The 26907-nt window shown below is 42.9% G+C and overlaps 1 protein-coding gene and 1 pseudogene across 4 annotated transcripts in view, besides 4 other annotated features; both read left to right on the top strand.

Moving 5' to 3' along the window:
* PDE6A (phosphodiesterase 6A) overlaps window positions 1830-26907 on the top strand; it is an 86841-nt gene continuing 61763 nt past the window's right edge. The window contains exons 1-5 of one of the 3 annotated variants that reach the window (NM_000440.3): window positions 1830-2423; window positions 11905-12057; window positions 12604-12693; window positions 15455-15595; window positions 24914-24988. In NM_000440.3, the coding sequence (NP_000431.2) occupies window positions 1950-2423; window positions 11905-12057; window positions 12604-12693; window positions 15455-15595; window positions 24914-24988 (933 nt within the window). In that variant the 5' untranslated portion in view covers window positions 1830-1949. Of the gene's footprint in view, window positions 2424-11904; window positions 12058-12603; window positions 12694-15454; window positions 15596-18610; window positions 18722-24913; window positions 24989-26907 lie in introns of those variants that run through there. The other 2 variants (NM_001410788.1, XM_011537650.3) reach the window with 2 other exon arrangements.
* Window positions 6223-6517: a silencer, noted in NCBI's record as "tiled region #12514; HepG2 Repressive non-DNase unmatched - State 23:Low". NCBI's record gives its function as "represses a minimal TATA promoter and a strong SV40 promoter by Sharpr-MPRA in HepG2 cells {active_cell/tissue: HepG2}" and the evidence as "EXISTENCE:reporter gene assay evidence [ECO:0000049][PMID:27701403]".
* Window positions 6223-6517: an enhancer, noted in NCBI's record as "tiled region #12514; K562 Activating DNase matched - State 5:Enh". NCBI's record gives its function as "activates a minimal TATA promoter and a strong SV40 promoter by Sharpr-MPRA in K562 cells {active_cell/tissue: K562}" and the evidence as "EXISTENCE:reporter gene assay evidence [ECO:0000049][PMID:27701403]".
* Window positions 7014-7513: an enhancer, noted in NCBI's record as "H3K4me1 hESC enhancer chr5:149318673-149319172 (GRCh37/hg19 assembly coordinates)". NCBI's record gives its function as "activates a minimal SCP1, AML or CMV promoter by ChIP-STARR-seq in primed H9 embryonic stem cells {active_cell/tissue: H9 hESC(primed)}" and the evidence as "EXISTENCE:reporter gene assay evidence [ECO:0000049][PMID:30033119]".
* Window positions 7514-8015: an enhancer, noted in NCBI's record as "H3K4me1 hESC enhancer chr5:149318171-149318672 (GRCh37/hg19 assembly coordinates)". NCBI's record gives its function as "activates a minimal SCP1, AML or CMV promoter by ChIP-STARR-seq in naive H9 embryonic stem cells {active_cell/tissue: H9 hESC(naive)}" and the evidence as "EXISTENCE:reporter gene assay evidence [ECO:0000049][PMID:30033119]".
* Window positions 13646-15265, top strand: MFFP2 (MFF pseudogene 2; annotated as a pseudogene). The gene has a single exon (NR_110534.1). The product of NR_110534.1 is annotated as an MFF pseudogene 2 (transcript).

Genomic DNA, 26907 nt, shown 5'->3' with positions numbered 1-26907 from the left:
GAGGCCAGACAATAGGACAAGGAAACAAAAACAAACATGATAATTGCTGATAGTAATAAATGTAATAGAAAAAATAAATAGGCTGATATGACAGGCAGAAACCGGGGAGAGGGTATTTGGGGGCTACTTGGGATAAGAAAACTAGAGATGACCTGTATGACCTGAAATCTGGAAGTTAAGAAGGAGATGGCATGCAGAGAGCTGAGAAAGCGCATTAGGTTAGAGAGTTCCAGTTCCTTATGATGGGAGTGTCTGGAAGGTTTGTGCTGCTACACAGCCTGCCAGATTGGGGGGTGAGCACTCGTGCACACTGCTGGATGAGTGCAGTGCCCCAAGAATTTATTACACTCTACAATAAAGGAGGCAATCTGCTTCCCAGTAAAGGTCATTTTTGAAGTTCAAAGTGCTAGCAACTGTCTATAATTATGCGTTCCACATAGTTTACAACATAGAGGTGCCAGGCTATAGTGGATATAGTCATGGAAGCTAAAGTAAGTTTCATCCAGAAAGAAAAGTGCTCTGTCTCCTTCCTAGTGGGCAGGAAGGGCATTTTAATGAAGATTCTGGTATTTCAAGATTCACTGGAGTTGCTAGAATGTGGACCATTGTGTGTATTTCTTTCTTTCCTTTTCTTTTTTTCTTTTTGAGACAAAGTCTAGGTCTTGTCGCCCAGGCTGGAGTACAATGGCGCAATTTTGGCTTACTGCAACTTTGCCTCCTGGGTTCAAGCGATTCTCCTGCCTCAGGCTCCCGCGTAGCTAGGATGACAGGCAGTGCCACTATGCCCTGCTAATTTTTGTATTTGTAGTAGAGATGGGGTTTCACCCTGTTGCCCAGGCTGGTCTCAAACTCCTGACCTCAGGTGATCCACCCACCTTGGCCTCCCAAAGTGCTGGGATTACAGGCGTGAGCCACTGCACCCAGCCCCTTGTGTGTATTTCTGACAGACAACCCAAGAAATTACAGGCTGAAACCAGAAAAGAACACATTAAAGCACCAAGAGAAAGTTGGAGTGGGTTGAAGGGAAACAGATTTTTAAAGTTAAGGCTCTGTGAAATGGGTAGAATTAACTACAGGTTAAAAATAAAATGTTAACTAAAGGTTGCCTCTGAGTAACAGGATTATGGGTGATTTTAATTGTCTTCTTTGTGTATGTTCAACAGTGACTATAATATGTATTACTTTTGGAATAAAGGAAAACCTGAAAGGTGTGTTGTTTTATAAGGGCCCTTAGGTTGCCAAAATTAGAGTCATTGAAATCTAAAGCTGATAAAAACTTTAGTGCAAAGATTGTGACATGGGAGACTACACATACCAGATCCATAATGTACATGAGGACAGTAGGCCGAGGGGCCCTGCACATTGAAAGCCCACATGGGAGAAGCCCTTGGGAAGGGGAGTGGAAGGATGAGGCAAGGGGCCGGGGGGATGCAGAGGCTGGCAGGCAGTCATTTCTCAGCTTCAGCCATTCCCGCCATGGGGGAATGTGGACAGAGAAGCCAAACAAATCTCCTAAACAGTAAATGTCAGTCTTCTGTGTCAGATATTTAAGAAAACTAACAGAGGTCAGAGAAGACACACCTACAGCAAGTAGACTGTCCCTGTGCTGCCTTTTTGCAACCCCTGCTTTGGCAGTGCTCAAGCCCACCTCCTGCTCTGTGCAGACATCTCTTCTTTGCTCTTACTAGACCAAGGTGAAAGAAAACTCTCACCTTCTCCCATCTGGCCCCACAGCATCTGGAACACACTGATCCTCATAATCCTTGTTCTTGAGAAATATTAATGACTTAATCTCCCAAGCTTGCTCCCTCTCCTGTGCAGGCCATCTCAGTATGTTTTGCAGACAAGACCCAGAGAAGTCCAGACTGGACTTGTTGCAGACTGCAAAACTGCCATTGGAAGGCCTCCGTCCCAGTCCTTCTACAGAGTAGCCAGTGGGATTCCCAGCCATGGGCGAGGTGACAGCAGAGGAGGTGGAGAAGTTCCTGGACTCGAATATTGGCTTTGCCAAACAGTACTACAACCTCCACTACCGGGCCAAGCTCATCTCCGACCTCCTTGGGGCCAAGGAGGCTGCCGTGGACTTCAGCAACTACCACTCCCCGAGCAGCATGGAGGAGAGCGAAATCATCTTTGATCTCCTGCGGGACTTTCAGGAGAATTTACAGACAGAGAAATGCATCTTCAATGTCATGAAGAAGCTGTGCTTCCTCCTGCAGGCAGACCGCATGAGCCTGTTCATGTACCGGACCCGCAATGGCATCGCAGAGCTGGCCACCAGGCTTTTCAATGTCCACAAGGATGCTGTCCTCGAGGACTGCCTGGTGATGCCCGACCAAGAGATCGTCTTCCCTTTGGACATGGGCATCGTGGGCCATGTCGCACACTCTAAGAAGATTGCTAACGTCCCCAACACAGAGGAGGTACTCTCTTCCCCATGAGAGAGAGGGCATGGGGCATTATTACATGGAGTTCTGGGGTACAGGTGGGGTGAGGGGCATTGGCCACCAAGACAAGGCTGGTGACAACATGGTGCTTCTTCTTTATTTATTTACATATTTACTCATAATTCTTTATTTTGAAAAAAAAATTCAAACTTAACAGAAAAGTTTGAAATAATACAGAGAACTGTATGTCTTTCATCCAAATTTATCATTCATTAACATCTTGCCACATTTGCTTTCTCTCTCCATTTTCTCTGACCCATTTGGGAGAAAGTTGCAGACATCATGCCCTTTGTCTGTAAGTACTGGCGATGCTCCCATCATTGTACTGTGGATAGGTAAGAAATGTCCCTGTTCTGGAAATACACAGTACTTCCACAGTACTTCTACACAGTACTTCCACAGTACCTCCACAGTACCTCCACAGTACTTCCACAGTACTTCCACACAGTACCTCCACAATACCTCCACAGTACTTCCAGAACAAGGACATTTCTTACCTATCCACAGTACAATGACGGAATCATAGAAATGTAATGTGGATACGACACCATTATCTGCTGGGAGTAGTGGCACATGCCTGTAGTCCCATCTACTCGGAGGGCTGAGGCAAGAGAATCACTTGAGCCCAAGAGTTTGAGACCAGCTTGTGCAACATAGGGAGACTCCTGTCTCTACAAAAAATTTTAAAATTAGCTGGATGTGGTAGTGCACTGTGGGGGAAAGAAAGAGAGATCAGACTGTTACTGTGTCTATGTAGAAAGAAAAAGACATAAGAAACTCCATTTTGTTCTGTACTAAGAAAAATTATTCTGCCTTGAGATGCTATTAATCTGTAACCCTAGCCCCAACCCTGTGCTTGCAGAAACATGTGCTGTGTTGACTCAAGGTTTAATGGATTTAGGGCTGTGCAGGATGTGCTTTGTTAAAAATGTGTTTGCAGGCAGTATGCTTGGTAAAAGTCATCGCCATTCTCCAGTCTCGAGTACCCAGGGACACAATGCACTGCGGAAGGCCGCAGGGACCTCTGCCCAAGAAACCCTGGGTATGGTCCAAGGTTTCTCCCCACTGAGACAGCCTGAGATATGGCCTCATGGGAAGGGAAAGACCTGACCATCCCCCAGCCCAACACCCGTAAAGGGTCTATGCTGAGGAGGATTAGTGAAAGAGGAAGGCCTCTTTGCAGTTAAGATAAGAGGAAGGCATCTGTCTCCTGCTTGTCCCTGGGAATGGAATGTCTCGGTGTAAAACCCAATCATATGTTCTATTTACTGAGATAGGAGAAAACTGCCTTATGGCTGGAGGTGGGACATGCTGGTGGCAATACTGCTCTTTACTGCACTGAGATGCTTGTGTAAAGTCAAACATAAACCTGGCCTCCGTGCACATCAAGGCACAGCACCTTTTCTTAAACTTATGACACAGAGACCTTTGCTCACATGTTTTCCCGCTGAACCTCTCCCCACCATTACCCTATAGTCCTGCCACATCCCCCTCACCTAGATAGTAGAGATAGTGATCAATAAATACTGAGGGAACTCAGAGACCAGTGCTGGCACGGGTCCTCCATATGCTGAGTGCCAGTCCCCTGGGCCCACTGCTCTTTCTCTAGACTTTGTCTCTGTGTCTTATTTCTTTCCTCAGTCTCTCATCCCACCTGACGAGAAATACCCAGGTATTTCTCATGGAGGGGCTGGCCCCCTTCAGTTCACACCTGTGGTCAGCATCAATATGGTGACTTCCCAGGAGTAAGGGACCACCAGGCTGCCTAAGGTGGGGTGAACCAGCCCAGGTCAGAAAGGGAACAGGTCAAACTCTCATGCTGGTTAGTAGTGGGATTGCACCTGTGAATAGACACTGCACTCCAGCCTGGGCAATATAGCAAGAACCGTAATGAAGAGGAAAAAATGAAAAAAGGCTGGGTGTGATGGCTCACACCTGTAATCCCAGCACTTTGGGAGGCTGAGGTGGGAAGACCACTTGAGCCCAGAAATTTGAGACCAGGCTGGGCAACACAGGGAGGTCCCTGTCTTTACAAAAAATAAAAAAACTCGCTGGGTGTGGTGGTGCACACCTGTGGTCCTGTCTACTCTGGAGGCTGAGATGGGAGCATCACTTGAGCCCAGGAGGTTGAGGCTGCAGTGAGCCATGATTGCGCCATTGCACTCCAGCTTGAGTGCCAGAGTGTGACCCTGTCAAGAAAAGGAAAGGAAAGGAAAAGAAAGGCAAGGCAAGGCAAGGAAAGGAAAGCTACCATCCAATCGGCTGGGTGAAAAGGAAAAAAGAAAAAAATTGCTAAAAAATAAAGAAAAAAAAGATGCAACACCATGATCTAATAAACAGTTCATATTCAGTTTCTGTCAGTTGTCTCAGACACCGATGTAGCGCTGTCTTTTGAGTCTCCTTGAATCTGGGACTGTTCCTCAGTCTGTCTTTGTTTTCCACGGTGCTGACATTTTTGAAGGGTACAAATCAAATCTTTTGCAGAAATGTCCTTTCATTTGGGCTTGTCTGATATTTCTTCATAATTAGATGCAGGTCACACATTTCCGGCAGGAGCAGCACAGAGGTGATGTGTTTTTCTTTGTGCTTTACATGCGGAGGCACAATGGCAGTCTGTCCCATTACTGGAAGTGTAAACACTGATCACTTGGTTAAACACTTGGCTCTTTCTTCCAGGATCCACTGTTCCCTGAGATTCTCCTGGTGGTTCTGACAAAGACTTCTTTGATCACCTTGGGCAAATCACTCCCCCTCTCTGGATGTTGGTTTTTAAAGGCAGTAATGCAGTTCTCCACATAGCCCTCTGCCCAGGCCAACTCCTACTCATCCTTCAGAAAAAGTCACCCTTCCTCAGGGAGGCCCTTTCTAATCTCCCTGTTATAGCCCCCTCCCTAAGCCATTTCTCATAATAAGCCCTGGAGGTCAGGGACCAGGTCTGCCTTGTCCACCAGGCTTTTACTCCAGGACCCAGCACAGTGTCTGGCACAAAGCATGTGCTTGGTAAGCACTTGGTGTAAAAGACTCACAATCAAGTAATTATGCAATAATTTCTTTAACACTGTCTCACCCAGAAGAATGTTTGTCCCATTACGGCAGGGCCCATGCGGGTCTTATTCACTCCTACACTGGCCAAACCAGGAGCTGTGTTCCGGCATTTCCAAAATCCAGCCTTTGGACATGGTGTGATTTTGTGCTCATTTTACCTCTGGAGTTACTTCAGATTAAGCATCTTAAGGTTAAAAATAGGAGAGGAAGGGGGCTTCAGAGACTGTCTTATCCAACTGCCTTATTTAATAGACAAGGAAACTAAACCTAGGAGAGTGTGGGCAGAGGCTTGCCAATGCTCCACATGCATGAATGCAAGAATTCAAACAGGTAGGCCGGGCGCAGTGGCTCACACCTGTAATCCCAGTGCTTTGGGAGGCCGAGGCAGGCAGATCACTTGAGGTCAGGAATTTGAAACCAGCCTGGCCAACATGGTGAAACCCCATCTCTACTAAAAATCCAAAAATTAGCTGGGCCTGGGGGTGCATGCCTGTAATCCCAGCTACTCGGGAGGCTGAGGCAGGAGAATCATTTGAACCTGGGAGGTGGAGGTTGCAGTGAGCCGAGACCGCACCATTGCACTCCAGACTGGGCAACAAGAGCAAAACTGTCTCCAAAAAAAAAAGGATTCAAACAGGTATCTTTTGGTCTTGGGCTCCTTAGTGAGATAAGCCAGACTTGTGCCTCTGTGGAAAGCATACCCGGTGGGCTCCCACATGGGCGCATGGCTCCCGTCATCTCCTCTTGGGCATCCAGGGGCCGGGCAATGGTTCTCCACTCAGGAGACTTTCCGGAGGACTCATCCAACTGGACTGGAGTCTATTCTCCCTTCAACTCTTCTAACTGTAATTGTAGCCAACAAGGATTGCCTCACTCGTTTCCCCTCATAACGATCTATGTCATAACTGTCATTATCTCTGTTTCACAGATGATGAAACAGAAACCCAGAAAGTTTTGGTAACTTGCTCAGGATTATGCAGATAGAAAGTGGCAGATCCTGGCTGGTTCAAGTACACAGGTGTTTATAACTAATTGATCACAGCCAGTTATAGATTTCTTTGTTCCCCCTCCACTCCTACTGCTTCACTCGACTAGCCTAAAAAAAGAAAAAAGGAAAGAAAAAAAAAAGTGGCAGACTGGGAATGATTTGAACTCAGGCATTCTGACCTTGAGCTCACAATCTTTTTTTTTTTTTTTAACTAGTTGGTTCAGCCAGGGAGTCGTTACAGAGCCTTAATTCCTCTTAATTGCTCTGCTATTCTGTACTCCCTCCTCCTCTATAAAATGAGGGCATCGCACTGGGTATTTGAGCAAGGTCATTGGATCATGTAGCAGAGAGTTAAGATCTTATGCTTTAAGGTGAGATCTGGATGTGAACCAGGACTCTGTCACTTTCAAAGAATGTGGCCTTGGCAAATCGTTTAGCTTGACTGGGTTTATTTCCTATTTTATAAAATGGGGAAATAAGAGCTACCCCACAGCATTGTTGTAGAAATTAAATGAATGAATTATCTCATCAGCAGTGTTCTTGGCACACCGTAATGGCTCCTATTGGCAGCTCCCGTTCCTTATTACTATTACGACCATTTTGCTACTGTTATTGTTGTCGTTGTTAAGGATCTATTCTAAGTGATGGATGCTGTACCAGGTTTGAGTGGAATTTGGAGAAGAATCCAGTCTTGCCCTTCTGGAGCTTTCAGTTTAGATTCTGTTTGTGGGAAAACAGAGAACATAAATGCTGAGAGCTTCTCTATACCTTGGTGTTAAGGGATTGAGGATTCAGGGTGTTTTTCTGAGTCTAGAAGATCCTGACTTAACAGTTTTTGGAGCCTCTGTGCTAAGGGACGGCCTGTTGCTTTCTGTTCATCCGTCAGAGTTTACCCAGGAAACCACACCTCACCTTCCCTGGAAACTTTTGGGGCCTGAGTCAGTGTCCCTGGCCAGTGACTTGGGCCTGTGGGTGAAGTCTGTCTAGGCCAGTCATCCCTGCGTACTTGGTATTTGCACGTGTTTACTTCAGGAAATCTTACTCAATTCATGGCCCTGGGCAGAATGCAACCTTGGGCCCCAGTGGCAGAATGCAACCTTCGCCACCAAACAGTGACTGGGGCTGGGTGAAGGAGAAGGAAGGTGGTGTAGACAGGGGTCTAGATTCTTTCTGGACCACCAAAAAGTGATACTCTCAACCTTTAGCACCCTCCAAAAACCTGAGAAATGGTTGCAATTGCTGCATTGTTGAAATGCGAAATCACAAAGGTAGTTCTTTTGGGCTGTAATGAACTTCCCCACCCCCTCCAAATTCCTACTTATCTTGGGAATTGCCTTGGGAAGATTTGCCACAGGACTGCCAGAAAAAATATAAGATGCCCAGTAAAGTTTGAATTTTAGATAAACAAAGAATGATATTTTAGTTAAAGAAGATCCTGTGCAATATTTTGGACACAGTTACACTAAAAAATTATTTATAGTTTATCTGAAATTCAAATTTCATTGGGAAGGCCCACTTGCCATTCAATATTTACTTGTATATCATTCCTTTGCCCTTTCTCCTGGCAGGAAAACCCATGAGGTCTGTCTGTCTGTCCCTGTCGATCTTATTCACCACTGGCCCCTGGCACCTAGCCCAGTGTCTTGGACAGAGTGCATACTTACCATAGTTTATTGAGTGAGTGAATGACTAAATGTCAGCCCTTCACCAGCACTTCCTCTGGCTAATAAATTCCATTTCTGAAGGCTGTACCTGAGATGACCGTCATTTGTAGACCCTCTCACATTTGTTATCTGCCCCTGCTTTCCTTCATTTCCCATGAGACCTGAGACCTAGCAGGCTAGAACAGGAAAACAAAGAAAAAAAAAACCTTCACAGAGGACCTTATTCAATACTCTGACTTCAGCAAAGGGGAAATTGAGGTTCAGAGTGTTTTCAACTACTGACAATGTACTGAGTGGCCCTTGAAGCCACTCATAGGACAAGTTTCTCCTTATCTGGGTCCCCAGCGTGGTCTGCTTCACATGCTTTGAGTCGTGGGCTCATGTTTTGCATGACATTCCACTATACCATGAGAACCCACTGAGAACAACCTCATCTTACAGGTCTTTGCATATACAATGCCTGGCATAGTGAGTGCTCAATGAATATGAATGAATCAATCTGTCAATCAGTGAATCAATGAATAAGTCAATGAATGAATAAGTGGAGCAACTGTGCCACTTACCAGCAAGGGAGTTGTCTATAAAATGGGAAAGGTGGCAGTTCTATTTGGCAGGGCTGATGTGAGAGTTAATGAGATAATATATGTCAGTTGTCTGGCTCTGAGCCTAGTCATTATTACTCAGTAAATAGTAGATCTCATCATGAGATGCAACAGAGCTTGGCACTGTGAATGTTTGCAAAGGGGAAATGAGGAATCTGGGAATGAGAAGTAGTGTTGCATTGCACTTTAAAATCCAAACTCAGCCAGGTGCAGGCTGACACCTGTAACCCCAGCACTTTGGGAGGCCGAGGTGGGAGGATCACTTGAGCCCAGGTGTTCAGGACTACCCTGGGCAACACAGCAAAATCCTAGTGTTACAAAAAATACAAAAATTAGTCGGGCATGGTGGTACGCCCCTGTTGTTTCAGATTCTCTGGAGGCTGAGGTGGGAGGATGGCTTGAGCTCAGGAGGTCGAGGCTGCAGTGAGCCATGATGGCTACACTGCACTCCAGCCTGGATGGCAGAGCAAGACTCTGTCTCAAAAATAAATAAGTGAATACATAAAAATGAAATCAAAACTCTTTCCCATGGCCTCCAAAGCCCTGCTGGATCTGGCCCCTGCCTGCCTCTTTAACTTCCTTGCCCTCTGCTTTCCCTCTCCCTCTCTATGCTTTAGCTACACTGATTTTCTTTCTGTTCCTCACGAGGACCAGCCTCATTCCTACCTGCTGGCCTTTGCATGCTCCGTGCTTAGAATGTGCTTCATATACCTGGCTCCCTTGATCCTTCAGCTCTTAGCTCAGCATTACATCTTCAGAGAAGGCTCCCTACCCACCAGCCTGCCATCCCTTTCATCACTCTCTACAGCACCATCCAGTCCATTTCCTTCAAAGCAGTTTCCTCAAGTTGGAGGAAGAATGCCTAGTTGTTTACTTGCTTTTTTGTCTGTCTCGCCGTTTGAATGTAAGGTTCACCTTATATTACAACAGTAATGTTCATTGCTGTAGTTTCAGGGTCTGGAAGAGTGCCTAGCATATGGAAGACACTCTGATAATGCTAACTGAATGGATGAATCACTTTGGTCTTTCCCTAGCTCAGCCTCTGATTCTAGGATTTAAAATAAATATAAGTTGGTGCAAAAGTAATCGTGGTTCTTGCCATTACTTTTACTAGTTTGAGCTAAATGGCTTCTAAGTCTCCTTCTGCCTTTGATAATCTGAGATTCTGTGACATGGTTGTTTAGAACACTTTATATGCTGAATATATAGGGATGATAATGATCATGTAAATGCCAGTCAATTGGCAGTTGAAGTACTCATGAGGGGAGTTCCAGGACTGAGTACCCAGTGGGAATGAGCTTTCTGGTGGATTTGGTAGCATCTGCCTTGGATGCAGGTGAGGCCCAAATATTTGCTTTTCCTGAAAGAAGTGAACATTGGGAAACTGAAATGACTTCATGAAATGAATCTGAGCATACTCCACCTAGACACGTGCTCAGGAACTCATCAGTAGCTTAGAAAATGACACAGATACCACTTCTTGACTAATGCCTTTTTAGAGATTTTGCTTAATCCTCAAATGTTAATTCAAGTACAGCACTACAAGCTTCTCTTAATTCCTTTACCCTTCACCTGGTTTTAAACAGCTTCACTGATAATAATGCTGTTGACTATTTATTTAATCCCATTCCAACTAGAAGAAATCTATAGATGCAGAGCATTATGCTCTGAATTCCTTCCTTCCTTCCTTCCTTCCTTCCTTCCTTCCTTCCTTCCTTTTTTAGAGACAGGGTCTTGCTCTGTCACCCAGGGTAAAGTGCAATGGTACAATCATAGCTCACTGCAGCCTCCAACTCCTGGGCTCAAGCAATCCTCCTGCCTCAGCTTCCTGAGTAGCTGGAACTACAGGCACATGTCACCACACCTGGCTAATTTTTTTTGAGTTTTAGTAGATACAAGATATTGCTATGTTGCCCAGGCTGGTCTTGGACTACTGAACGCAAGCAATACTCCCACCTTGGCCTTCCAAAGTGCTGGGATTATAGACGTAAACCACCACGCCTGGCCCAGACTTAGTTTTAGAAAAGTTCTGTGAATTGGCTCTATGAAGTACATTTCCACTCAGAACGGCGTGAGCTGAGCATGTTTGGGCTGGCCCGCCTCCCAAGCAATGCTGACAGTCCAAAAACCTCACAGTGCTACCAATAAACAGAAAGGAGGATTCTTGTAAATTTAAGAGAACAATTCAAGCTCTGTCTTTTCATCCTGACCGCATGGTCCACCACAGCCTATAATGGCTTCTCTGGGCTGCATTAGGGGAGGTTTATGGAGGTGTGTGCTCCTCTATACACTCAGAGCTTCAAGCCAATCCCTTGTGACCTACATTACTATTATTGATTTTTCTTTGAGCTGGCCTGAACCTTGGTCACCCATATCCCCCGTGCTTAACATAAGGCCTGACACATAGTGGGGTTTCTACTAAGATTCGTAGAATGGGGATATCTACTGAACTGGTTGTGTGGTGCTAGAACTGGATTGTTTAAAAAGCTGAAAATAACAAATTCTTTTGTTCAATGACCTAGACCCAAGTCTAACCTTATCCAGGCTTCTCTAAGAGGCAGCAGAGCTGAAGGCAGGCTCTGGAGTTACACATACACACACACACACACACTCACACACACAGTCTACACAATCTACACACATGACATTAACCTTCTTGAGTTACAGATCCCCCTTCTGTAAGATGGGCTACTGATGGTACTTATCTCATAGCTTATTGCGAAGATAAAAGTAAGATAACGCAGGTAAAATGCCATGCACGCTGCCTGCTAGCAACTGTCGTTGTACTTCCTAAAGTCTTTACCCGGCTTCCTCTTAGCTGTACCCTGGGTTTTTATTCTGGGCTTAATTGTCATCACCTCAAGAAAGCCTTCTCTAACCCTCCTTCTCCAGGCAAAGTCAGTCCCCCACTCCCATCCCTGGAACCCACACTGCTTTGCACACCTCTCCTCCACAGCCCTCAGTGGATTTCATCTCAGACTTTCTTCTTCTACTGGATTTTGGAAGCTTCCATGACAGATGTCATCTCTGATTTCCCTGCCCCTGTTGAAGAGGAATAGATGGAAGCACCTTTATTCCCTTGTCAACAGGGGCTTTGGGCCGTTCCACTGTTCTTGCTCTTCATTTGCCTGTCCGTGCTTATCTCTGCCTTCCTTTAGGATGAGCATTTCTGTGACTTTGTGGACATCCTCACAGAGTACAAGACCAAGAACATCTTGGCTTCCCCCATAATGAATGGGAAGGATGTGGTGGCCATAATCATGGCTGTGAATAAAGTGGATGGATCCCACTTCACCAAGAGAGATGAAGAGGTAAGAATGCTTTAGAGACTAAGGATAGCCATGCTAGCACATTCTCCCAGCCTATGAAGTCCCCTGAACTTTGCTGTTTGACCTGGCCTCAGTTTTCCCATCTGTAAGACAGGGAATTCACCTGATGTTCTCTGAGGGAGGCAGGATAAAATAATAGTTAAGACATTGGGCTTTGGAGTCAGGAATAGAGGGATAATTGTTCTGGCTCCGCCAATAGCTGTTTGCCTTTTGCAAGTTATTTAACTTCTTTGAACTTTGGTTTTCTTATTTGTAAAATGTTGATAATTTTTCAGTATCAACCTCATAGGGAACTTATTAATAAATAGTAGCTATTTTTCATGAATACACTCCCATCAACATCAACATTCTACATTCGGTGAGTTTTATGCTCATGCAACATCTTATGAGTCTGCATTCTAGGATCCATCTGCCCAAATTGTCTCTGATGAAGCTTTGAAAATATTCAGATATTTGCTGATGGTAAAAGTAGCCAGAGGATGGATTTCTTCTTCTCACCTGCCTCCCCTCATGCTGTTTGATTTTTAGATTCTTCTCAAGTACCTCAATTTTGCAAATCTAATCATGAAGGTGTACCACCTGAGTTACCTGCACAACTGTGAAACTCGACGTGGCCAGGTAAGGGGCTTGGGCCAAGGGAATGGACTTGACTCGTCCTTTCCCTGAAGCATTGATGTGGTCAGGACTGGCAGGCAGATGGGAATGAAGGTGCCTAGGAAGCCAGTCTCTGGCCAGCATCACGAGTGTTATGAGGTAGTGGTTGTCTGTAAAGCTGTATACCACAGTGGTTATATGCACAAGCTTCAAGACAGATGGCTTTGATCTGAATCCCTGCTCAACCACTGCCTAGCTCTAAGACCCTAAGTGAGTCACTTAATCTCTCTATGCTTCAGTCTCCCCATTTGAAAAATAGGGATGATTATGGTGCCACCCTCAAAAGGTTGCCATCAATAGTAAACGAGATAATGCATATAGGGCAATAGTGCTCAATTGAAGTTTCTTATTATTTTTATTAAAAACCTATGAGATAAATGAAAGGGAAAGAGCTGGACCCAATGTAAAGCAGCCAGTTACTTCATCTCTCTGAGCCCCAGTTTGTTTGTCTACAAATGGAAGATAATTGGACTGGGCATGGTGGCTCACGCCTGTAGTTCCAGCACTTTGGGAGGCCAAGGCAGGAAGATTGCTTGAGCCCAGAAGTTCGAGACCAGCCTGGGAAACATAGTAAGACCCCATCTCTATTTTTAAAATAAAATTTTTAAAATAAATGGATGATAATGGGCTGGGTAAGGTGGCTCATGCCCATAATCCCAGCACTTTGGGAGGCTGAGGTAGGAGGATTGCTTGAGGCCAGAAGTGGAAACTCATCTCTACAAAAAATTTAAAGATTATCTGTGTGCAGTGGCGTCCACCTGTAGTCCCAGCTGCTGGGGAGGCTGAGATGGGAGAATTGCCTGAGCCCGGGAGTTGGAGACTACAGTGAGCTATGATCGTGCTACTGTACTCCAGCCTGGATGACAGAGTAAGACTCTGTCCCTAAAAAATAAATACATAAAAACAAACACTTTAGCTTTTGCGCTTCTGCCCTGGCCCTCTGCTGGCCACTCCGCCGGTGCTGTGCCTGGGCGCCTCCGTGCTCTCGGCCAACTGCCTCTGAGAGCGCCCACTTGAGCGCCCTGGGAGCCGGAGGGCGGCGGTCCTCACCGGGACCCTCCTGTGGGCGGAGGGGGACAAAAGTGTCTCTCAATCCAGCACATGCACATTGAAGCAAGTTAAAGGATTTAATATGAAGCACAGAAGCCGACAGTGCCAAACAGCAAGCAGTAGTTGGTACACATTTGGTGAGTGGGGCAGCATTTCCTTCTCCCACTGCTGCTGAGATGGCAGAAATTAGTCGAATTCGTACGAAATGGAATATACTGAAGGCATTAGTCAGCGAATGAGGGTCCCAGAAAAGTTAAAAGTAGCACCGCCAAACGCCAACCTGGAACAGGGATTCCAAAAAGGAGTTCCAAATGCTAGCGTGATAATAATGCAAGTTCCAGAGAGGATTGTTGTAGCAGGAAATAATGAGGATGTTTCATTTTCAAGACCAGCAGATCTTGACCTTATTCAGTCAACTCCCTTTAAACTCCTCGCACTAAAAACAGCACCTCGTGTACTTAGGCTAAGTGAAAGACCACTAGATTTTCTGGATTTAGAAAGACCTCCTACAACCCCTCAAAATGAAGAAATCCGTGCAGTTGGCCGACTAAAAAGAGAGCGGTCTACGAGTGAAACTGCTGTTCGCCAAAATGGACAGCTGGTCAGAAATGATTCTCTTTATGGCATTTCAAATACAGATACAACAATTGAAGGAACATCAGATGACCTGACTGTTGTAGATGCAGCTTCACTAAGACGACAGATAATCAAACTAAATAGACGTCTACAACTTCCGGACGAGGAGAACAAAGAACGTGCTAAAAGAGAAATGGTCGTGTATTCAATTACTGTAGCTTTCTGGCTGCTTAATAGCTGGCTCTGGTTTTGCCGCTAGAGGTAACATCAGCTCTCAAAAATATTATCTCAACAGCTGGAAATATAAAAGATTTGCAAACTTCTTTGTTTCTGTCTCTTCATTGTACGCCATTTTATAGTCCACAACCTGAAAATATATTTCTTCCAGAAACTCTGGAGGTAACACCTGCTTAAAATTCTCCTTTTGCATGTTTTGTAAATAGGCTCCAGTTTTGTTTTTTAAAAGGAATTCATCTTTTGCCTCATCGGTCCACACAACTGATTCTGAATGGGAGAGAGTCTGTAGAGAATTGATTTAGAAAAATGTCTGTGAAAGAAAAACAATTATTTTGTCGTGTTTCTCAAACACTGTAAGCAGTTTTGTTAATAGACATTTTTCCATCAACACTTCAACATTAACACTTTCAAAGTCATGGTCTGTTGCCAGATTTGAGAAACTCGAACCACCTAATATTTCATAACCTTCTTCATTAGGTACTTGTACAGATTAATTTCTAACATTTCAGCAGTTTAATATGTGTGCAATAAGTGCATTCTTTCATTTTAGTTTTGTACTTGGTTTTCTATAAAGTACGTTTTTACTCAGTTCATGTGTGAACAATTTTTAAAAACTACAGAATAAGGTACAAATGTAGTGTATTTAATAAACTGTCAACCAAAGCAAAAAAAAAAATTAAAAACTTTAAAAAAATCTAAAAGTAAAAATAGGGGATAGTTAACCTGTCTATTTCTCTGGATTATTGTGAAGGGTAAATGAAATAAACTCCAGACAACTTTACAGAATTGTTGTTATTCTCCAGCTAAGTGAGCTACTACTTTGCACCTCAAAACCTATGAATATGTTTTTGTGTTTTTTCAGATACTGCTGTGGTCTGGGAGCAAAGTCTTTGAAGAACTTACGGACATCGAACGACAGTTCCACAAAGCCCTGTACACAGTCCGTGCTTTCCTCAACTGTGACAGATACTCTGTGGGTCTCTTAGACATGACCAAGCAGAAGGTGAGAAAACTTCAGCAACAGACATTTCCAAGAAAAGATTAAACAGACACTGACTGACGGCTAGAGTCTTGGCACACATTCAATTGCACGGGGGAAGAGGCTGGGTGAATTGGGATGGTTGTAGAAAGTCTTACATAGGTCTCTACTGAGGAGTATCAGCCTTTAAAGGGGAAAAGTCAATCTAGGGCACAGGTGAGTGAAAACAATCTGTACTTTCCTTAGTCATTTGGAAAGAAAAAAAGTGTACATGAAAAGAAACTGATGAGGTGATGAAGGCCAGTGATAAAGAAATTTCTATGTGGGTTGAGAGTCCAGGAGAAAGTTGCCAACTTCAGGGATTCTCAAAAAATGTACTGAAAGTTGTGTGTAAAGCTTTGCTGCAATTTATCTATTCCAGAGCTCACCCAGGCAATTAAGTGGAGGCAGATGCCGACATCGGGTCCCTCACATGTTCAGGGGCCAGATTTGTGGCAGATACAGCAGCTAAGGAGGCAGAGTTCGATGTCGCTCCCAGCGATGTTTTTTAGATATGTTTTCCCAAACAACTTCCTCATTTCTCTTTGTTTATTTGCTTCTGCCTTATGAGGCTAATCATTTTCTGCCTTGAAACAGAGTTTCAGAGTTATCTAAGTTTAATATCTCCTATCCTGAAAACCCAAGGATTCCAGCCAGTTTCATTTTGTACGCCTTGTCATGCTGAGGGTGGTGCCCAGACCAATGCAGACTCTCCAAATATATTGGATTGAGTGAATACATGGATCACAGAATCTGGGGTTGGAAAAGCCCTTGGATATAGTCCAGAGGCTCCCAAACTTGGCAGTTCATCAGAATATTCTGAAGAGCTGATTAAAAAATTACTGGACTGCATTTTCTGATAGTCTGCCATTTTTTACTTAATGTTTTACAAACATCTTTCCATGTCAGCACATAGGAATTCTTTTTAATGAGCCTTTATATTGAAACATAGGCCTGGCACAGTGGCTCACACCTGTAATCCCAGGACTTTAGGAGGTTGAGGTGGGAGGATGGCCTGTGGCCAGGAGTTCGAGTCCAGCTTGGGCAGCATGGTGAGACCTGTCTCTACAAAAAATAAAATAAAAATAAAAAAAGAAGGACAACGTAGACACAGAAAAGGGACATTAATTATAGCTGCTGATATAACAGTTCAATGAGTGAACATTCCCATGAAACCACCACCAAAATTAAGGAACAGAACATGACAAACAGCACCTCAGCAGCCTCCTTCATACCTTTTTCAGTACCTCCCACAGCCTCCTCCTGAAAGGTTACCACCATCTGACGTTTAACACCATATTAGTTTTACCTTTTTGAGGTTCATATATATGAAATCCTACAATACACATGCTTTTGTGTTTGGCTTCTTTTATTTATTTATTTATTTATTTATTTATTTATTTTTTGAGACGGAGTCTCGCTCTGTCACCCAGGCTGGAGTGCAGTGGCGCAATCTCGGCTCACTGCAAGTTCCACCTCCCGGGTTCACGCCATTCTCCTGCCTCAGTCTCCCGAGTAGCTGGGACTACAGGCGCCCACCACCATGCCTGGCTAATTTTTTTGTATTTTTAGTAGAGACGGGGTTTCACTGTTTTAGCCAGGATGGTCTCAATCTCCCGACCTCGTGATCCGCCTGCCTCGGCCTCCCAAAGTGCTGGGATTACAGGCGTGGTGTTTGACTTCTTTTGATTCATTCTTATTACTTCATTTAGCATGAGTTCATTCATTTTTATTCCTGTGGAATTTTCCATCATATGTACAATCTACAGTGTATTTATTCATTTCCACTGTTGGTGGACATTTGAGTTTTCAGATCTGATCTATTATTAATACTGTTATTATGAAACTTCTAGTATATTACTAGTACACAGTTGTGCCCTTTCTGTTAGGTATTTACCTAGAAGTAGAATTTCAGAGTATTAGCTTTAGTAGATATTGCCCATCTGATTTTCAAAATGATTGTACCATTTTATACCCTCACCAGCAATGTATCAAGGGTTTCTTCATCAATACTTGGTATTATTATTCTTAGTAACTTTAGCCATTCTGGTGAGCATGTGGCTTTATCTCTTTTGTTATCAACATAAATTCCCCTAATGACTGATGAGGTTGAATATTTTAAAATACGTTTATTGGCCATTTGGATGTATTATTTTTTGAAGTGACTGTTCAAGTTTCTCCTCCATTTAAAAAAATCACATTGTCTTTTTTATCTCACTGATTTGTAGGAGTTCTTTGCAAATTCTGGGCACAAGTCCACTTTCAAATACATGCATTGCAAATACAGTCACACACCATATAACAACATTTTGATCAATGATGGCCCGCCTATACCATGGTCCCATAGAATTATAATGGAGCTGAAAAATTCTATCGTCTAGTGATGTCATAGTGCAACGCATTCTTCACATTTGTGGTGATGCTGGTATAAGAAAAACCTACCGCACTGCCAGTTGCATAAAAGTATAGCACATACAGGCCGGGCGCGGTGGCTCACGCCTGTAATCCCAACACTTTGGGAGGCCGAGGCAGGCGGATCACGAGGTCAGGAGTTCGAGACCAGCCTGACCAACATGGTGAAACCCCGTCTCTACTAAAAATAAAAAAATTAGCTGGGCATGGTGGTGGGTGCCTGTAATCCCAGCTACTCAGGAGGCTGAGGCAGGAGAATTGCCTGAACCTGGGAGGTGGAGGTTGCAGTGAGCCGAGATTGTGCCACTCACTGCACTCCAGTTTGGGTGACAGAGTGAGACTCCGTCTCAAAAAAAAAAAAAAAAAAAATATATATATATATATATATATAGCACATACAATTATGAGCTGTAGTACATAATGCTTGATAATAGAAAACTAGAAAACTATGTTACTGGTTTATGTATTTACTATACTACAACTTTTTTCCATTATTTTAGAGTTGACTCCTTCTACTTATTAAAAAAGAAAAAAGTTAACTGTAAAACAGCCTCAGGCAGGTCCTTCAGGAGACATTCTGGAAGAAAGCATTGTTATCATAGGAGATGGGAGCTCCATGCGTGTTTTTGCCCCTGAAGACGTTCCAGGGGGACAAAGTGTGGAGGTGGAAGATGGGGATATTGATGATCCTGACCCTGTGTAGGTCTAGGCTAATGTGTGTGTTTGTGTCTTAGTTTTTAACAAAAAAGTTTAGAAAGTAAAAGAAAAAAAAATTTAAGAGAAAAAAAGCTTGTAGGATAAAGATATAAAGCAAATATTTTTGTTCTGATTCAAGCACCAAAGACATAAAAAAAGAAAAAAGAATAACAGAATTTGAGATTTTTTTAAAAAGAAAATATTTTTGTACAGCTGTATAATGTGTTTGTGTATTAAGCTAAGTGTTATTACAAGAGAGTCAAAGTTTTTAAAAATAAAAAATTTTATAAAGAAAAATTTAAAAATTTATAGAGTAAAAAAGTTACAAGCCAGGCTTGGTGGCTCATACCTGCAATCCCAGCTACTCAAGAGGCTGCGGTAGAAGAATCGCTTGAGACCAGGAGTCCGAATCTGCAGTGAGCTATGATGAGCAAGATCTCATCTCTAACATAATTAATTAATTAATTAAAAATTACAGTAAGCTAAGGTTAATTTACTATTGAAGAAAGAAATTTTAAAAATACATTTGGTGTAGCCTAAGTGTCCAGTGTTTATAAAGTCTATAGTAGCGTACAGTAATGTCCTAGGCCTTCACATTCACTCACCACTCACTCACTGACTCACGCAGAGCAACTCTCAGTCCCGCAGGCTCCATTCATGCTAAGTGCCCTTTATAGGTGTATGATTCTTAAACTTTTATACCTTATTTTTACTGTGTTTTTTATGTTTAGCTATGTTTAGGTGTGTAGTAGGCTATACAATCTGGAGTAATGCAAGTGCACTCTGCAATGTTCACACAATGACAAAATTGCCCAAAGAAACACACATTTCCTGGAGCATATCCCCGCCATTAAGTGACGCATGACTGTATTCTCCCACTTGGTGTTTTCATTCTCTCTCTCTCTCTTTTTTTTTTTTTTTTTTTGGAGACGGAGTTTCGCTCTTGTTGCCCAGGCTGGAGTGCAATGGCACGATCTCAGCTCATTGCAACCTCCACCTCCCGGGTTCAAACAATTCTCCAGCCTCAGCCTCCCAAGTAGCTGGGATTACAGGCCCCCACCACCACACCCAGCTAATTTTTGTGTTTTTAGTAGAGACAGGGTTTTACTATGTTGGCCAGGCTGGCCTTGAACTCCTGACCTCGTGATCCACCCACCTCAGTCTCCCAAAGTGCTGGGATTATAGGCGTGAGCCACTGCACCTGGCCCATGCTTTCATTCTCTTAATGGTGTGTTTTTATGAATATAAGTTCTGAATGATAATGTAGTTCAATTTATCAATCTTTTCCTTTATAGTCATTGATTCTTGTGCTGTAATGAGGAAATCTTTCCTGGATCTAAGATTGTAGAGATATTTACATATGTCAAATTCTAAAAGCTTTATTGTTTTAACTTTCACATATAGCTCTACAATCTACCTGGAACTTTTTTATGTTTAGTGTGAAGTAATGTGAGTATTCATTTTTCTGTACAAGCATCCAATTGGCCCAGCACTGTTTATTGAAAAGACCATTCTTTCCCTACTCTTCTAGTGAAAAGATCATCCTTCCCTATCATACCTTTATTATCAACCAAGTGTCCATATATGTATGGGTCTGTTTCTGGATTCTCTATTTTGTTCCATTGGTATATATATATGTTTTTTTTAATTAATTTTTTTTTCAAGACAGATATCTCACTCTTTTGCCCAGCGTGGAGTGCAGTGGTGCGATTTTGGCTCACTGCAACCTCCAACTCCCAGGTTCAAGCAATTCTCCTGCCTTGGTCTCCCGAGTAGATGAGATTACAGACACGTGCCACCATGCCCAGCTAATTTGTGTATTTTTAGTACAGATGGGGTTTCACCATATTGGCCAGGTTGGCCTCGAACTCCTGATCTCAAGTAATCTGCCCACCTTGGCCTCTCAAAGTGCTAGGATTACAGGTGTGAGCCACCATGCCTAGCCTCCATTGGTATATTTACCTATTCTTCTGCAATACTATCCTGTCTTAATTTCAGTATGTTTATAAAATATCATGATATCTGGTAATGAAAAGACCTCTAAGTTTATTATTATTATATGTTAGACTTTTTCACCATGGTTTGTGTCTCTTATACTTCTTTGTGTGTTTTTCATCATTTCGTTTTTTGTGCTTTAGTTTGAATATTTCTTCGATCCATCTTCTATTAATTACTAACTCTTTTTTTTTTTTTTTTTTGAGACAGAGTCTCATTCTGTCACCCATGCTGGATTGCAGTGGCATGATCTTGGCTCACTGCAACCTCCGCCTCCTGGGTTCAAGAGATTCTCATGCCTCAGCCTCCTGAGAAGCTGGGACTATGAGTGCAGGCCACCATGCTCAGCTAATTTTTGTGTTTTTAGCACAGATGGGGTTTCGTCATATTGGCCAGGCTGGTCTCGAACTCCTGACCTCAAGTGGTCTGCCTGTCTTGGCCTCCCAAAGTGCTGGTATTACAGGCGTGAGCCACTGCCTGGCTAACTCTCTCTTCAACAGTGTCTAATTGACTGTTAAACTATTGAGTTTTTAACTTTAGATATTTTTCAATTTTAGAATTTCCAACTCATTCTGTTTTTGTAGTTTCCAGTTCTCTGCTAAAGTTCTCTGTTTTGTACTTGATTCTTGGACATAATCACAGTTATTTTTGAGTCTCTGTCTGAAAGCTATAATATTTATAGGCATCTTCTATGGACCTATTTCTATGATCTGTTTCCCCTCTAGATTTTTCCGTGAATTGTCTGTTACATGCTTTATTATTTTTGTTTGAAGACTAGAGACATGTATGGAAATATGTTATCTTCCTCCAAAGGGGATGGTTTTACTTCTGGCAAGCAGTTGGGGTAAAGGCAGAGAACCTCAATCCATTTAGGAATTGAACTGATGTGAAGCTGGTCTTCAGTCTTCGTGAGGCCTGGTCTGCTTCTGGTTCACTTTTACTTCTTGGGGCGTGAGGATCCCAGCCTAGGGTGTTTTCAAGGGTCTCTCCTCCTTGGCAGGCTCTGAATTCCAATTTTGTCCTCCTTGCCCAGTGAGTCTTCCGTAAGCTTGGCTCAGCTTCTTAGCTGCTCACAGCATCTTTGGTATCAACAAGTGGGTCAAAAGGAAAGGTCGAATCAAGGGTCAGGTTTACATCTCTGGGTTTCCTTTCTCTCTGGGATTTTGGCCCACTAACTCCCTGCTGCCTTGCCGGCTATATAAGTCCTTCACATAAACAAATGTTCATACACATACACACAGTCCAGATGGTGTAATTTTTCCAGTTGGAGGATTGGTCTGAAACAAACGAGTCATCATGAACAGAAGTAGGAATCCTCTCTCTTTGTTTTGTAGTCCATATGGATTTATCTCATTCATTTGAGTAGTATAAATATACCGTAATTAATTTATCCTTTCCCCTATTGCTAGACATTAAAAATTATTTCTAAATATTCTTATAACTAAATATATATATATTTCTATTTCTAAATATTCTTATAACTAAATATATATATATCTATTTCTAAATATTCTTATAACTAAAGACAATGCTGGCCATACAACCCCTTGTTTGACAACTTCTCTTCTCCTTGGGACAATCTTTGGAGCCACTCAGTGTTTGGCCCACATGAGGTGTCAGGCCAATATATTTGTTCTTCTTCTGGGCTCCTCTAGCATTTATCCTCTCCTTCCAGCACTGTTTTGGTTCTTGCCTCATTTACCTCACTATTAGTTATCTTCTTCATGAGACAATAAGTTCTTCCAGGATACAAACTGTGCCTTATTCGCCTGTGTATAACTAGCAGTCAGCAGGTTGTGGGGCTCAGGTAGGGCCTGGTTATATTTTTGCCTAGAATTAAAATTGTTTTCTAAATGTTCACCTAGAATTAAATTTCTTCCTGTTGTTGGTAGTCTAGAAAAAGAGCTCAACTGGGGAGAAGGGCAAAAACATGGACTCTGCATTTCATGTGGCTTCCCTTCTGCTTCTCTGGATGATATTAGAATAAGCAGACCATGACAAACATGTTCAAATGAGAGGAATGAGGAGGGCTTGGCATCCTACCCACAGTAACCCAGTGCTAATAGATCACGGTTTGTCCCTGTATAGTAACAGATGAATGAACAGAAAGGGCACTGGAGGATGGAAGCCCCTCTCTCAGGCCCAGACTTGACCCCACACAAGCTTTGCTGCTCTATGGGCAAAGGAAACCATGAAGAAGTAGTGGGGAAGAACCTGTGTGGTTCTCAGTTGGCCTCTCCTGAGGCTGCATGACTGTGCAGCTCCTTTGCTGGCTCTTTTTCCTCTTCCCTCTGCCTGTGTCTTGGCCACTTTTATTTAGTGTTGTTGTTTGTTATGTTATGTTATGTTATGTTATGTTATGTTATGTTATGTTATGTTATGTTATGTTATGTTATGTTATGTTATTTATTTGAGACAGAGTCTCACTCTGTCACCCAGGCTGGAGGGCAGTGGCACAATCTCAGCTCACTGCAACCTCCCCCTCCCGGGTTCAAGTGATTCTCCTGCCTCAGCCTCCTGAGAAGCTGGGATTACAGGCACATACCACCACGCCCGGCTAATTTTTGTATTTTTGGTAGAGACGGGGTTTTGCCATGTTGCTCAGGCTGGTGTCAAACTCCTGGGCTCAAGTGATCCATCCGCCTCAGCCTCCCAAATGGCTGGGATTATAGGTGTGAGCCACCGTGCCCGACCTTGGCCACTTTTAGACAAAACAAATTCAACAGAGTTTATATGAGCAACGAACAACTCATGAATTGGGCAACCTTCAAAACCAGAAGAGGTTCAAAGAGCTCTGCTGCACAGCAAGGCCAGTGAGCTTTCATAGCTGAACATGGAAGTAAAGTATAGAAATAACATGATTAGTTACAATAGGGCATTTGTCTGATTTGGACATGATCTGATCAGTTGGGCTGCCTGTGATTGGTTGAAACTCGACCATTTGTTACAGTAATATACTCCTAAATTGGGTTTTGGTTTGTTTGCCTACTGAGGTTGCAGTTTCTTTTGTAGGAGCTCAAATTATTACATGGAAACTGGAAGAACAGAGATAGCCTCAGGCTAAGGCACCTGTGTATTTTGCTTTAGCAGCCACTTATCTTACAGGTGTCAGCCTTTCTTATTGGATCCCAGATATAGGTCTATTGTCCATATTTGATATCATTTTTTTCTTTCTTATTTGTGAAAAATATTTTTTCCTGATTACAAAAGCAATAAAGTTTGTTATGAAAAATTTCTAAATAAATTGCAGTCTGATTCCAATCACTCAGAGAAAATCACTTGTTAATACTTTGTTGTGGGCCAGGCATGGTGGCTGATGCCTGTAATCCCAGCACTTTGGGAGGCTGAGGCAGATGGATCACCTGAGGTCTGGAGTTCGAGACTAGCCTGGCCAATATGGTGAAACCCCATCTCTACTAAAAATATAAAAATTAGCCGGATGTGGTGGCACACACCTGTAATCCCAGCTACTTGGGAGGCTGAGCCAGGAGAATTGCTAGAACCCGGGAGGTGGAGGTTGCAGTGAGCTGAGATGGAGCCACTGCACTCCAGCCTGGGCAACAGAGCGAGACCCTGTCTCCAAAATAATAATAATAATAATAATAATAATAATTTGTTGTAAATGTATTCATGACAGTTTCTATATATAATTGAACATTAGGGTCACATGATATATTCTTTTTGGCCTCTCACATTTGTCACTTATCAGTGTATCATCTTTCCAATCAGCACACACACGTCTGTAACATCATTGTTAATAGATGTACCATAATTGATTTAATAAGTCCTTTCTTCTTGGGCACTTATATTGTCTCTAATTTTTCACTACTATAAATGATACTGCTTGGGACATTGTTTTAGCTAAATCTTTGAGCACATATTAGCATGGTCTTAAGGTAAATTTCTTAGCCGTAAAGACCCTGCTTTCCCTCTCATGTCCAATAACACTGAGGGTGCCCCAGTTCAGCTCCCATGTTTTTGGCTAATGACTAGACAGGCCCAGTTCATCAATATTTTGAAGGGCAAATGTGACTATTTTCTAACTGTAGTGAGTCTTACTGCCTTTCCAAGTTTAGGTTTCACTGAGTTCTTCTCACTTTCTAAATTTCAGTGTTAGCTGACTCATGGAGGTGGGACATCTTAATCTCCTTTCCTTGATCTCTTTTCAAAACATGTAATTATTGTTTTTCTCATTCCTAGGAATTTTTTGATGTGTGGCCGGTTCTGATGGGTGAAGTTCCACCTTACTCTGGTCCCAGGACTCCGGATGGAAGAGTACGTTCTCTCTGACCTTTTCAGTATGATTTAATATATTCAAATGCAAGGCACAGTAAACCCTGTTAAAGGATTTTTTATTAGCATATAGGTATTTGTCTTTGCGTTGGGTTGTCTCCTTTGAAGTTAGAATAATCTCTCATATTCAATAGCAGACAGGTGCTAAAAGTAAAATAAAACAACAGAGAGAAAAAAAGTAAAAAAAAAACAGCAACAATAATTCCTCATAATTGTCATGCCCTAACATCCCTAACATTTGCAAAGTGGTCTTCCTTCCTTCCTTCCTTCCTGCCTTCCTGCCTTCCTGCTTTCCTTCCTTCCTTCCTTTTTCTTTCTTTCTTTCTAAGCACTATACTAACAAGAAGCTAAGTGTTTAATATCTTATTGGGGTTTCACAGTAACCTTGCGGGGTAGACCAAACAGGGACCAACATACTCATTTCACAGCTGTGGAAAGAGACCCAGAAAGGTCAAGCAACCTACTCAAGGCTTCACCTTGCAGGAATTTAGAGTTATAGACAATATGAGCTTAGAAAACCTTCATATCTAGTCTATAATGTACAAATTGGTAGCCAGAAAGCCAATTCCAGCTGACAGATACACTTGCTTGGCTACGTAGGTTTTCTATTTTCTTTCTTTTTCTTTCTTTCTTTCTTTCTTTCTTTCTTTCTTTCTTTCTTTCTTTCTTTCTTTTTCTCTCTTTCTCTCTTTCTTCTTTCTTTCTTTTCTTCTCTCTCTCTCTCTCTCTGTCTCTCTCTTTCTCTCTCAGATAGGGTCTTTGTATGTTGCCTAGGCTGGTCTTGACTTCCTAGTGCTCAAGTGATCCTCCTACCTTGGCCTCCCAAAGTGCTGGGAAATTGGCGGCTAACCCTTAAAAATCAAAGTCTTTCCATAAATACCTGAATTCTCAGTTTCTTTTGAAAAGGTGGATGATTAATCCATACTGGACCCACAATCCAGCAGGGCAAATTTGATTGGAGCTGAGTAGCAGCTACCTCCTTGGGATGTGGCCTGAGTTCTCTAGTTTGCCACAGTCCCCGCCACTTTCTCTTTTTGAGATGGAGTTTTGCTCTTGTCACCCAGGCTGGAGTGCAATGGCGTGATCTTGGCTCACTGCAACCTCTGCCTCCCGATTCAAGTGATTCTCCTGCCTCAGCCTCCCGAGTAGCTAGGATTACAGGCACCTGCCACCATACCTGGCTAATTTTCGTATTTTTAGTAGAGACAGGGTTTTGCCATGTTGGCCAGGCTGGTCTCGAACTCCTGACCTCAGGTGATCCGCCCACCTCGGCCTCCCACAGTGCTGAGATTACAGGTGTGAGCCACTGCGCCCGGCCCCCACCACTCTCTTTTATGTACATCTGTGCCCTGCTTTCATTTTTGTTTTTATCAACCTCTCTAGGCATTTAAGTTTCTGATCTCTGATCTCATCCAATTGCAGCATTTTATTTTATTTGTTTTTGTTTTTTATATAGAGATGAGGTCTTGCTATATTGCCCAGGCTGGTCTTGAACTCCTGGCCTCAAGTGATCCTCCTGCCTTGAGCTCCCAAAGTGCTGAGATTACAAGCATGAGCCACCGCACCTGGCCTAAATTAGGCCCTTTAACATTCCCTCTGCCTTCTAACATCCCTCTCACGCTTTATCTGCCACATTCACTTGGAAACACAGCTTTTGTCTGAATTCCAACCAATTAATGTTCCCGAATCTTAGGTCGAAAGCCTCACAGTGTCAGCTACATCTTGCTTCATCTACTTTTAAAAATAAAATAGTGTGTGTATGTTTTAAATATTTAAAAGTTATACAGGCTAAAAAGCCTTCATGGAAAAAAAAATAGCAGTCTTTTAAAAAGTGGTGTATTTCCATGGGTATCTGTGGCTCTTTCAAAGCCCCTTGTGTCAGCTGCTCAGGTAGAAGGTAA

Source organism: Homo sapiens, chromosome 5, assembly GCF_000001405.40.
Source record: "Homo sapiens chromosome 5, GRCh38.p14 Primary Assembly".
Taxonomy (NCBI): domain Eukaryota; kingdom Metazoa; phylum Chordata; class Mammalia; order Primates; family Hominidae; genus Homo; species Homo sapiens.
The sequence above is the reverse complement of the archived record's forward strand: the minus strand, read 5'-3'. Positions and strand labels throughout refer to the sequence as shown.